The sequence below is a fragment of the Homo sapiens genome, chromosome 8, assembly GCF_000001405.40.
Source record: "Homo sapiens chromosome 8, GRCh38.p14 Primary Assembly".
NCBI classification, from domain to species: Eukaryota; Metazoa; Chordata; class Mammalia; order Primates; family Hominidae; genus Homo; species Homo sapiens.
In genome coordinates this window covers 78,781,307-78,794,902 of record NC_000008.11, presented here as the reverse complement: position 1 = coordinate 78,794,902, position 13,596 = coordinate 78,781,307, and the positions used below count along the sequence as shown (strand labels likewise).

General features: G+C 36.9%; 1 protein-coding gene across 6 annotated transcripts in view, besides 1 other annotated feature; it reads left to right on the top strand.

Annotated features, from left to right (window-relative positions):
- IL7 (interleukin 7) overlaps window positions 1–13,596 on the top strand; it is a 130,420-nt gene that overhangs the window by 10,561 nt on the left and 106,263 nt on the right. The gene's annotated exons all lie outside the window — the stretch shown is intronic.
- Window positions 3,582–3,782: a silencer, noted in NCBI's record as "peak7081 fragment used in MPRA reporter construct". NCBI's record gives its function as "represses an SCP1 promoter by STARR-seq MPRAs in K562 erythroleukemia cells {active_cell/tissue: K562}" and the evidence as "EXISTENCE:reporter gene assay evidence [ECO:0000049][PMID:32103011]".

The following is a 13,596-nucleotide window of genomic DNA, read 5'->3' as shown; positions in this document are numbered from 1 at the left end:
GGGTTTGGGTGTGGATAGAATGATGGACCAAGTACAGATCTTTTTTCAAGAAGCTTACATTTTGGTGAGTGTTAAAGATTGGTGGTGAATAATGCAAGTTACAGTTTTAAAAGTAGGAAGAGTGACTTCCTGTTTGTTAGATGTCTGCTTATCATCTAACAAATAGACTGGTTGTAAAACAAGCTCAGAAACAAAAAGATGTAAATGGTGTTCTGGAAGTAGTAAAGAAGCAATTTTGGCCTGTGTAGAAGTTTCAGCAAGTTATCCAGAAGGTCTAGCTAAGATGATTGGTAAAAGTGGCTACACTAAACAACAGATTTCAATGTAGATGAAACATCCTTCTACTGGAAACAGGCGACATCTAGAACTTTCATAGCTAAAGAAGAGAAGTCAATGCCTGGCTTCAAAGCTTAAGAGGACAAACTAACTCTCTTGTTAGGGACAAATGCAGCTGGTGACTTTAAGTTTTAGCAAAATATTACTGCTCATTGACAATGCAAAACTAGTCACCCAAGAGTGCTGATGGATATTAATGTTTTCATAACTGCTAATATAACATCTGTTTTTCAGCCCGTGAATCAAAGAGTAGTTTCAACCTTCAAGCCTTATTTTTTAAGCCATGTATTTTTGAGGCTATGGCTGCCAGAGATAATGATTCATCTAATAGATCTGGGCAAAGAATTGAAACCTTGTGAACAGCATTCATTGTTCTGTAGTAGATGTCCTTAAAAACATTTGTGATTCATGGGAGGAGGTCAAAATATCCACATTAACAGGAGTTCGGAAGAAGTTGATTCCAACTGTCATAGATGACTTTGAGGGGTTCAAGACTTCAATAGAGAAAGTAAATGCAGATATGGTAGAAATAGCAAGAGAATTAGAATTAGAAGTGGAGCCTGAAGATGTGACTGAAATGCTGAAATCTCAGGATAAAACTGGAATGGATGATGAGTTGCTTCTCAGGCATGAGCAAAGAAAGTGGTTTCTTGAAATGATTTTACTTTGAGTAAAGATGCTGTGAACATTGCTGAAATGACAAGAAAAAATTTAGGATATTACACAAAATTAGTTGTTAAAGCAATGGAAGGATTTGAGAGGATTGCCTCTAATTTTAAAAGAAGTTCTACTGTGGATAAAATGCTTTCAAACAGTATCACATGCTACAGAGGAATCTTTTATGAAAGAAAGAGTTAATCTATGTGGCAAACTTCATTGTTGCCTCATTTTAAAAATTACTACAGCCACCCAACCTTCAGCAACCACCACTCTGATCAGTCAGCATCCACTAACGTTGAAGCAAGGCCCTCCACCAGCAAAAAAGTTTACAACACCCTGAAGGCTCAGATGATTGTTAGCATTTTTCAGCAAAAAATTCTTTTTAAATTAAAATGTATACATTGTTATTTTAGACATAAGACTATTGTACACATAATAGACTACAGTATAGTGTAAACATAACTTTTATATGCTGGGAAACCAAACAAAATTGTATGACTCACTGTATTGTGATACTTGCTTTACTGCAGTGGAACCAAACCCACAGTATCTCTGAGGTATGCCTGCAATAAATTATGCAATCATTATCACTATCTAATTCTAGAATATTTTCATCATTGCCAAAAGAAATATTCTACCCATTAGCAGTAACTCTTTATTCCCCATCACTAGCCTCTGGCAGCCACTATTCTGCATTCTGCTTTCTGTCTCTAGGAATTTGCCTATTCTGGACATTTCACATCTGTCTTGTATATAATTCATATGGATGATATGCAGCTTTTTGTATTGATCTTGTTTGCCTTAGTATAATGTTTTTAAAATTAATCCATATGATAACAGGAGTTAGTATTTCATTTCTCTTCATGGCTCAATAAAATTCTGTTGTATGGATATGCCACATTTTGTTTATCCATTCATCAATTTCTGGACATTTGGGTTTTCCATTGTTTGGCTATGCAAGTTTTTATACAATTGTCTTGATATGTTCCTAGTAGTCAAATTGTTGGATTATATGGTCACTCTGTTAAACTTTTTGAGAAACTGCAAACTGTTTCTAAAGAGGCTGCACCATTTGCGTTTCTATCAGCAGTTAAGGCTCTGATTTTTCTACTTTCTCACCAAAGCTTGTTATCATCTAACTTTTTATTCTAGCTATCTCTGTGGGTGTGAAGTAGTATCTCATAGTGATACTGATTGGCATTTCCTTGATGACTAATGATGTCAAGCATCTTTTCATTATTGGCTGTTATTATCAGCCATTTTATATATCTTCTTTTGGAGAATTGTTTATTCAAATCTTTCACCCACTTTTAAATTGGATTATTTGTCTTTTCATTTTTATAGTTGTAAGAGTTCTTTATATGCTCTGGATCTTAGACCTTTATCAGATATTATATTTTTTCCTCCCATCATTTGTATTGTTTTTTATTTTCTTGATAGTGTCCTTTGAAGGACATTTTTAACTTTTATGAAGTCCAATTCATTTACTCTTGTTGCCCATGTTTTTGTTTTCATATCAAAGAAACTATTGCTTAATCCAAGACAACAAAGATTTACATCTATGTTTTATTCTAAGAGCTTTATAGTTTCAGTCTCACATGTTGGTCTTTGATTCATATTGAGTTAATTTATGTACGTGGTGTGAGGTAGGGGTCCAACTTCATTCTTTTTCATGTGGCTATACAGTTGTTCCTGCATCTGATATTGAAAATTATATTTTCCCTCATTGAATGTCTGGACACCCTTGTTGAAAATAAATTGAACTCAAATGTATGGGTTTATTTCTGACCTCTCCATGGTAATCCATTGATATATAATCCCTATGCCAGGACCAGACAGTCTCAATTACTGTAGCTTGGTGTTTAGTTTTGAAATCAGTTTTGTCTTTCAATTATGTTTTTATTTTCTTAAAATCATTTATACTGATGAAATTGCTGATATTTATTTTATGGATTGACTACCTTTTTTTAGGGATTAGTATATTAAATAGCTTTATAATTTAAATGCAATCTAAATCTCTCTGGTGATGTCATATCTCTGAGCAATTACTAAACCATGTGACTCCATATACTAGTAAGTATGGTCCAGTGAGTGGCATGGACAGAAGTAATGACAGACTGTAGAGAAGTGGTGGGGAGCTTAAGAGTATTCTCTTCCTTATAGCTCTCAAGATCCGTTTTCATTCTCCCATTAGATTTTGATGATATGCTCATCATTTGGTAAGAGCACATGATAATATATTAAGTATAATGTTATTGATTTATTTAGAGACAGAGTCTCACTCCATCACCCAGGCTGGAGTGCACTGGTGTGTTCTTAGCTCATTGAAATCTCCACCTCCCAGGTTCAAGCAATTCTTGTGCTTCTGCCTACCAAGTAGCTAGGATTACAGGCATGTGCCACCACACCCAGCTAATTTTTGTATTTTTAGTAGAGATGGGTTTTTGCCATGTTGGCCAGGCTGTTCTCAAACTCCTGACCTCAAGTGATCTGCCTGCTTCAGCCTCTCGAAGTGCTGGGATTACAGGCATGAGTCACTGTGCTTGGCCTAAGTATAACTCTGTAATTGTCCTATCTGTTTAAAACATCTTTCCATTCATAATTCCCTTATTTTCTTACTTTTGATATATAATTTTATTTTTATGTAGTGACATCTATATAATAAAATTTCAGATGGTTCAATTTGGGCACCAAGGTGGGAGGGATCAGGGACTGGTGTGAAATTGATACAGAAATAGTTTTCCTATAAAGCCACAAATAAGTGATACTTGGAGAAGAAAGAACTTGTCTTTCCCCCTTGAATAATCTTGGCATCCTCATCAAACATCACTTCACCAGAGATGTATGGGTTTATTTCTGGACTCTCCAATTCCATTTTGTTCATCTGTATATCTGTCCTGGGTCAGTACCAAACTGTCTTTATTACTCTTTCTTTGGATAAGTTTGAAATCGGGAAATATGAATCATTTTACTTTTTTTTTTTTTGAGATTGTTTTGGTTCATGCATAAACTAATTTGGGACCATCATTTTCGTAATAATGTTTAAAAATGCTTGTGGTCCATGAACATGGGATTTTTGTTCCATTTATTTGTATCTTTTAAATTTTCTTTTAACAATATTTTATAGTTTTCAGAATATAGGTTTTACCCTTCTTTTGTTAAATTTATTCCTAAGTATCTTATGTCTCTTTAATGCTATTGCAAATGGAATTTTTTCTTTATTTTAAAATTATCTATGATTTCTAACTCTCCACTCCTTGTATACTTACCTAAGTATGTGTCTTATTTCCCCGTACTAGTCCATATGTATATTAAGGACAGATTTTATGTTTGAGTCATCTTTGTATCTCACAGACTATTAGCCCAGCATCTTACACGTAGTAGTTTTTCAAATGTTTAATTAATAATTTATGGATTGTTAATCAACACCATAAATTAATGAAAACCCAGAGCTAATTTTGAATAATCTAGGAAGCCTGTTTTTTTAACATATGTTCTTTGGAAATTTGTTATGAATTAAATATCAGGTACTTTTTGATATCAATATGAACTAGTTTTGGATGTTATACAATATTTTTTATCCATAAAAAATTATTTTACCTAAATATAACTCACATGGTTGAACTACATAACTCTTAGTCACCACAGCAAAGGCTGTTTCAAAATATAAAGGCTGCTAGAAATGGCCAAACGCTTTCTAGGAATAACTCAGTCTAATTGTAGGCAAATACAGGGCTATCCCTTTATTTTAAGTTGTAAACTTATAAATCTAATGACTAATCGGTTATAATATACTTTCACAACTTCCAATATCTTTAACTGTGACTCTATTCCAGAGGCTTTCACAGATTCAACTTCTGTCTTTGCACTGACAGCTCTCATATAGCCTGAGGTCTACATTTCTCCCATTAACTCTAGGACCATTTAATTCAAATATCTAGTAGATATCTCTACCCAGATGTACTATGGCACCTCATGCATAATAGTCAACTAATTGCCATCACATTTAGCCTGTTCCTGCTTCTGTATTCTCTATCTTAGGTAATTTTAGCATTTTCCTAGTCTTTCAATTCTGAAAGCCTAGAATCATCTTTGATGGCCTTCATCTCATCCATCACCAAATTCTATAGTTTAATATATCATCTTAACACCTGTATTATCCATCTATTCTATAGACTTCTACTACTAGTCTTAGTTCAAGTAGTTGTCAGATCTCACCGGGACCACTTCTGCAGCTGTCAGTGGGCCCTGACTAACCTTCCTGCCTCCCCTGTGCATCTGGCCTTTTTAATGATGCTTGAGTTATCTGTCCCGATTCAAATCTGTTACCATTTTTCTTCTTTTTAAAAACTCTTTAATGAAGTATCTCTCCCCCAGCACCTATCAGGATTTGGTCTTGCATTTGATTGGTTTGCTAACAGAAGTAGCCAAAGAAGGATCAAATTCTAGCCAAATATTGCTTCAAAAATATGTGTAAATAAATGGACAATGTTTAAATAATTGTAGTTAACAAATAAGGAAAATGTAAATTGATTACAATAAAAATTAGTTTTTTAATATCAATTTATGCTAGAGTAAAATATAAATTTCCTGTTTATATGACTCAGTAGCATGACTAATCAGTTGCAATTTAACAAGAGACATTGCTTTTTAAGAGGCAAGGCTTTTTGTTTTATGAATAACTTTTTTCTAGTTATAAAAATTAAAGAAAAATAGACTAATTAAAAGATAGAGACTGCCTGAGTAGATTTTAAAAACCCTACTTTACGTTGCCTAAAAGAAACCTACTTTAAATATAAAGATACATATAGATTGAAAGTAAAAGGATGGGGAATGATACACTATGTTAACACTAATCAAAATGGGAGTAGCTATATTCATTTCAGTCAAAGTCAACTTCAGAGCAAGGCGGACTATCATGGATATAAAGAGGGTGCATTACATAATAATAAAGGGCCAATTATCCAAGAAGACATAAGAATCCTTGCTCTGTACATATCTAAAAACAGCATCAAACTCTGTGAAGCAAAAACTGATAAACTGCAAGAAATACATGTATCTATTATTATAGTTGGAAACTTCACAGCCTTCTGTCAGTAATTGACAGATTCAGCAGGGAGGAAATCAGTAAGGTTACAGATGAACTTGAAAGCACCATAAATCAACTGGATCTAATTGACAGTTATAAAATACTTCATCAAACAACAGCATAATACACATTTTTCTCAGACTCACATGGAATATTCCCCAAAATTGAACATGTACTGAGCCGTAAAACACACCTTAACAAATTTTTATAAAGTACAAGTCATGCACAACATGCTCTCAACCAAAATGTAATTGAAGTAGAAATCAATAAAATAAGAAAAATAGGTGGAAAATTCCCAAATATTTGGAAATTAAAAACACAATTTTTGATAACATATGGGTCAAACAAAATGTCTCAAAAGAAATTTTAAAATATTTTGAATTAAATGAAAAGAAAATAGATATTTGCATGATACAGTGAGAGCAGTGCTTAGGGTATTAAATGCATAGAAAGAAAAGAAAAAGATATAAAATCAATAGTCTAATCTTCCACCTTAGGAAAACAGAAATGAGAAAGAAAATTAAAACTAAATTAATCAGAAGAAAATAAATAATGAAATTAGAGATGAAATTGAGAACAAGAAATTAGTAGAGGAAAATCAATGAAACCAAAACTGGTTCTTTGAAAAGATCAATAAAATTAATAAGCCTCCAGCCAGGCTGACCACGAAAATAAGAAACAAGACACAAACTACTACTATCAGAAGTGAAAAGAGAGCCATCACTACTGATTCCATGGATATTATAAAGATAATGAGGTAAAAGTATTTTGATGGTTAATTTTATGCATTAACTTATCTTGGCCAAGGAACACCAAGGATTGCCAGCAGCCACCAAAATCTAGGAGAAAGTCATGAAGTGGTTTCACCACAGAGCCTCCAAAAGGAACCAACCCTGCCAACACTTTGATGTCAGACTTATGGCTTCCAGAACTCTGAGAGACTAAATTTCTGTTGTTTTAAGCCACCCTGTTCATGGACATTTGTTATAGAAGCCCTAGGAAACTCAAATAAATGGTGACAAAAGTGGACAACATCCTGAAAAAAAATTCACTAACACTCCACTTTGAAGAGAGGCCGTGGAAATGTCTACTGGGGAAAAGCAAGTGAATTGGGGAAATGACCCCTAAATATGGTAGTCTCTATGAAAAGCAAAACACCTCTTTCTCAGTTGGGAGGAAACTTGAAGACCAAATGAGCACTCTTTCCTCATGCAGGCCAGCTCACCATACACCATGATGCACTTTAACAAAAGGTAAATTGTTAAAAAGAGAGCACAGTGTTAATAACAGGGAAGGCTATGCATGTGTGGGGACAGAGAGTATCTGTGGGAAAAAAAACAGTTTTCTTATTCTCTCCCTCAACAACAATCAACATAGGAGACTTCTATGACCAAATGTGTGAGAGTTTTTTTCCTCATATTCTAAGCAAAGAATCAATTCTGCAAAGGACACAAGCTGGCTGTCAATTCAATTATGACACTATCTATCTGAAGACAGCACCACATAGCACAGGTTGAGGCTGTCTTCATGACTCCTCCTTCCCCCTCCACCCCCATTTCAGATGCCAATCACAAACCCTAGGATGTCTAACCTGTGCTTCTGACCAACTGGCTGTACAATGGGGATCCCACAACCTGCTCCTTGGGTTTAACTAATTTGCTAGAGCAGCTCTCAGAACTTGGGGAAATACTAATATTTATCATTTCTTATAAAGGATATTACAAAGGTACAGATGAAGAGATTCATGGGCAAGATATGGGAGAACAGGTCTGGAGCTTTCTTGCCTTCTCTGGGCATGCCACCCTCCAAATACCTCCACATGTTCAGCTATTTGTAAGCTCTCTGGAGAGTTAGGCATGACTGATTAAATCATTGGCCATTGGTGATCAACATAACCTTCAGCCCCTCTCCTCTCCCCAGAAGCTGGGGGATGGGGCCGAAAGTCCCAACCCTCTATTTATGCCTTGTTATCCTAGGGGCTGGGACTGGGGCTGGAGCTGGGGGCTGCCTAGGGGCTGCCAGATACCAGTCATCTCATTAGCACAGAAAAAGACATTCCTTTGGAGGTTTCAAGGATTTTATGGGTTGTGTGTCAGGAATCTGGGACAAAGACCAAACATACAGTCATACGACACAATGTTTCAGTCAATGAGGGACTGCATATACCATGATGGCCCCATAAGATTATAATGGAGTTGCAATATTCATATTGCCTAGTGACATCATATCTGTGGTAATGTCTTAGAATGCATTACTCACATGTTTGTGATGATACTGATGTAAACAAACCCATTGCACTGCCAGTCATATAAAGGTATAGCACAGTAGTGTTCAGTAATGTCCTAGGCCTTCACATTCACTCATGGCTCACTCACTGACTCATCCAGAGCAACTTGCAGTTCTGCAAGCTCCATTCATGGAAGGTGCCCTATACAAGTGTACTATTTTTAATATTTTATACCATATTTTTACTGTACCTGTTCTATATTTAGATATGTTTAGACACACAAATACTTACCATTGTGTTATTATTATCTATTTAGTGCATGCTATGCAGGTTTGTAGCCTGAGAGCAATAGACTATACCTTATAGCCTAGGTATGTAATAGGCTATACCATTTAGGTTTGGGTTCTATGATGTTTGTGCGATGATGAAATCATCTAATGGCACCATTACAATGACACATTTCTCATAATATATCCCCTATCATTAAGTGACACATAACTGTATTTCACAGTATCACAATGTACATGAGGAATCTCTATACCTTCTTCTCATTTTTTTGTGGACCTAAAATTGCTCTATAAAATAGTCTTTAATAAAAAGAGAGAAAGAGGACAGTCCCTGTCCACCAACAAAATTGACCACAGGTTTTCCCACTTCTCAGTGCACTACCATTGCCACATACCCCTTCGCATATAGCTGTGTTCCCAGGCTTTCCAAGAGCACACAGAGCAGATAATACTGTGGCTTCACTTAGAAATTCAACAGAGAAGTGACTGTGATAAGTGAGAAGAGGATCATGAGATATGGAGTCAAATAAATATCAGCACAGAGTGGTCCACTTTAAATTTAAGATGAAAATAACATACAACGATACAGAAATGCCACAGCAAAATAAAAAGACTAAAAGAAACCTAGAATATAAGCATCCATTCTGGAAGGGGGCAGACACGAAGAAACAGAATAAAAACTTTCATTTGTACTTCACGCCATAGTTTTAAAGTACACATGAATTTTACAACAGAATATCAAAGAGTAGTTGATAAAAGAATAGAATGAGATGAAAAAATATTATACAACCAAGGAAATACATTGAAATCCAAAATTATGCACTCCCTCCATTTTAGATGTGACAAAAGTGTTAGCAACAACAAGAAGAATGAACAAAAAATATGAAATAGATTTGTTATAATCACCATAAATGCACAGTAAAAATACAAATACCAAACAGTTGCTGAAACAATAAAAGATAAGAAGAGATGATAGTGATCCATTTTATGAATAATTGTTCCTACCAAAGAAAATTCATCGAATGGAAGAATAAAACAACCTATGATAGAGGAAATTTTTTCCACAAATTGAGGCAAAATGGAATGAACAGTGCTAGGTAGTATATCATGTACTATAAAAATTGATTCAACATGATTGTTACTAAGTTATATCTTGGAAAAGTGACTGAATTTCAAGAGCAAGGAAGAATAATTCTAAAGGTGGAAATGGCAAGTCAGTTGGAGGAGAATCAGAGTGGCTTCAGATTTTTCACATCTAAATGCAAAAGATAATGGAATAATGTCTACAAAATTCTGAGAGATAAAAATGTGGCTCAGAATTTGATACCTAGACAAGATGTTGTTCAAATATAAAGTGCACAGGCAGAAATTTATGTATGTCAGAATTTAGGCAATAGAACACTCATGAGCCTTTTCAAGGAGAAGATGGAGGGGGAGGGGAGCTACTGGATATAAAATCCAACCAACCAAGAGAAAAGTGAAGACACTGTAGTAAAAGGTCAATTGATAGCACAAAATTCACTTCCTTGTAGAATTAGAGTAGCCTCTTCAAAATATATTATATTCTTTTATTTTCCTCATGGTTCTTGCTACTGTCTCAAATTATCATATTTTTAGGACAGAGACTCTCTGTCTTGATAATCCTTGTATCCCCACCATCTAGAATGTTACCTGGTACAGACAAGACCCTTCATAAATATTTATTGACTGACTGAGTGAATGAACATAGTTTACATTAAAAAAAACTTAAATGTTATTTTAAAGTTATAAAATTACAGTGTAGCATAAAATTATATGTTATATCGTGTATATAGTATAATTCAAAATTATGTTGTAAAGATGTTGATATACATAAGTGACTGTGTTAGACACTTCTGGCTGCCATATCAAAGAACCATGGACTTTGGTACTTTGGTGGCTTATAAACAAGAGAAATTTATTCCTCACAGTTCTGGAGGCTGGAAGTCCAGGATTGGGGTGGCATATGGTTGGGTTCTGGTGAAGGACCTCTTCCAGGTTGTGGACTACCAGCTTCTCATATCTTCACGTGGCAGAATGTGAAATTTTCAGATGGCTAGAGAGCTCTCTGGTGTTTCTTTATAAGGCACTACCACCATTCATTAGAGGTTCACCTTCATGACTTAATTACCTCCCGAAGGCCTCACTTTCTAACGACAACACATTGGGGGTTAGGATTTCAACATATGAATTTCGAGGAGACACAAATGTTCAGTTCATAACAGTGACATTTTAAAATCATTATATGACTTATAGTCTTCACCATATTGGCTCTATCAGTGACTTCTCACTATTGGTTTATGTGCTACTCATATATTTACTTGCAGTTTACCTAATGGCTCGCTTATTTTTGCTTAACCAGGTGGTGTTTAGAGTTATGCTCTCAAAACAGAACACTCTCTTCTGACAGTTTGGTTTATCATACTTGGCTGCTTTGCTTTACATATTTCTTTAATAAATCTTTATCTTTGATCTGCCTGTTACCACCCCACTTCAGCTCACTAGAATCTTCGAATATATCCATCTCATACTTCATCTCTCAAATTGTCTCATTAATCACAGGTTATATAGTTGAAATTGATATTTAAAGTTCAAGTAAATAGTTATAAAGTACAGCATATAAGCATTTGTGATTATAAATTTACAGTTGCCACATATGTTAATTGGTAATTAGATCGCTGCTTGTAGGATGGTATATAACCATTACTGCATATTAACCTTAAGACTAATGAGTGAGAGCTGGGCCATGATGGCTGACTAGACACAGTTGCAGTTGGAGGCCTCCACCGAGAATAACAAAAACAGCAAGTGAATCCTGTGCTGGCAACTAAGGTATCCAGGTTCTCTCATTTGGACTGACTAGGTGGTTGGTGCAACTGACAGAAAGCAAAGAAATCAGAGTGGAGTAATGGCCCACCTGCAGGGGGTAAGTGGGACTCCCATCCCCAGCCAAGGGAGGCAGTGAGTGATTGGCCATCCTGCCCAGGAAACCATATTTTTCCGTGGATGGGTGCAACCTGCAAATCAGGAGATTCCCATCATAAGCCCACACCAAAAGGGCCTTGGGTTCCAAGCACAGAGCAGTGCATATTCTCTCAGTGGCCACTGGGCTGGGGTCTGCCTAAGACTACAGAGTTCCTAGAGGGAAGGGTAGCCACCATCGCTATGGCTACCTGCTGCCTAAGATGACTGAACTTAGAAAAGGGGCAGCAACCATCACTGCAGCTCCAGTCTGCCTTTTCCCCTGCTGGTGCCAGAGATATTGGGTGGTTCAGATCCAGGAGGAATTCTCCACAGTGCAACACAGCAGCTGTGGCAGATAATCACCAGACTGCCTCTTTAGGCTGCACCCGGACCCATCCATCTTCACTGCATGTGGCCTCCCTCTGGGAATTTCATCATCTCCAGCCAGGGGTTTACGGACAGAGCTCTGATACCCCTGGGATGGAGCTTCTGGGGGGAGGAGCGGCTGTTGTCTCTGTGGATCAGCAGACTTAGTCTTTTCCCCGCTGGCTCTGAGGAATCCAGGCAGTTCAGACGAGTGGGATTCCAGCCAGAGTGCTTCATTAAGTGGGTCTTTGATCCTGTTCTCCTGACTGGGTGAGACCACCCCCAACAGGGGTCACCAGATACCTTATATAGAGACATTCCCACTAACATGAAGTCAATAACCCTCTGGGATGGAGCTCCCAGAGGAAGGAGCAGTAAGCCATCTTTGCTGTTGCGCAGCCTCCACTGGTGACACCCCCAGGGGTGGGAGAGACCCAGGCAAATAGGGTCTGGAGTGAACCCCCAGCAACTGACAGGAGCCTTATGGAAGAGGGGCCTGACTGTTAAAAGAAAAGCAAACAGAAAGCAACAACAACAACAGCATCAACAAAAAGGCACCCACAGAAACCCCATCCAAAGGTCAGCAGCCTCAAAGATCAAAGGTAGATAACCTCAGCAAGATGAGAAACAGTCAATGAAAAAACACTGACAACTCAAAAGCCAGAGTACCTCTTCTTGAAATGATCGCAACACCTTTCCAACAAGGCACAGAACTGGGCTGAGGCTGAGATGGATAAACTGGCAGAAGTAGGCTTCAGAAGGTGGGTAATAATGAACTTCACTGAGCCAAAGGAGCATGTCCTAACCCAATGCAAAGAAGTTAAGAACCATGATAAAACATTATAGAAGCTGTTAACCAGAATAATGTTTAGAGAGAAACATAAATGACCTGATGGAGCTGAAAAATACAACACAAGAACTTCCCAATGCAACCACAGGTATCAATAGCTGAATAGATCAAGTGGAGGAAAGCACTTCAGAACTTGAGGACTATCTTGCTGAAATAAGACACAAAATTAGAGAAAAAAGGCATGAAAAGAAATGAACAGAACCTGTGAGAACTATGGGATTATGTAAACCCACAAAACCTACGCCTGATTGGGGTACGTGAAAGAGATGGGGAGAATTGAACTAACTTGGAAAACATGCTTTAGGATATCATCCAGGAGAACTTCCTCAACCTAGCAAGACAGGGCAACAGTCAAATTCAGGAAGTACAGAGAGCCCCAGTAAGATACGCCATGAGAAGAACCACTCCAAGACACATGATCATCAGATTCTCCAAGGTTGAAATGAAGGAAAAAAATATTAAGGGCAGCCAGAGAGAAAGGCCAGGTCACCTACAAGGGAAAGCCCATCGGAATAACAGCAAACCTCTCAGCAGAAACCCTACAAGCCAGAAGAGATTGGGGGCCAATATTCAACACTCTTAAAAGAAAAATGTTTCTAACCAGAATTTCATATCCAGTGAAACTAAGCTTCATAAGCAAAGGAGAAATAAAATCCTTTCCAGACAGGCAAATGCTGAGGAAATTTGTCATCACCAGGCCTGCCATGCAAGAGTTACTGAAGGAAGCACTAAATATGGAAAGGAAAAATGATTACCAGCCACTACAAAAACACACTGAAGTACACAGACCAATGATACT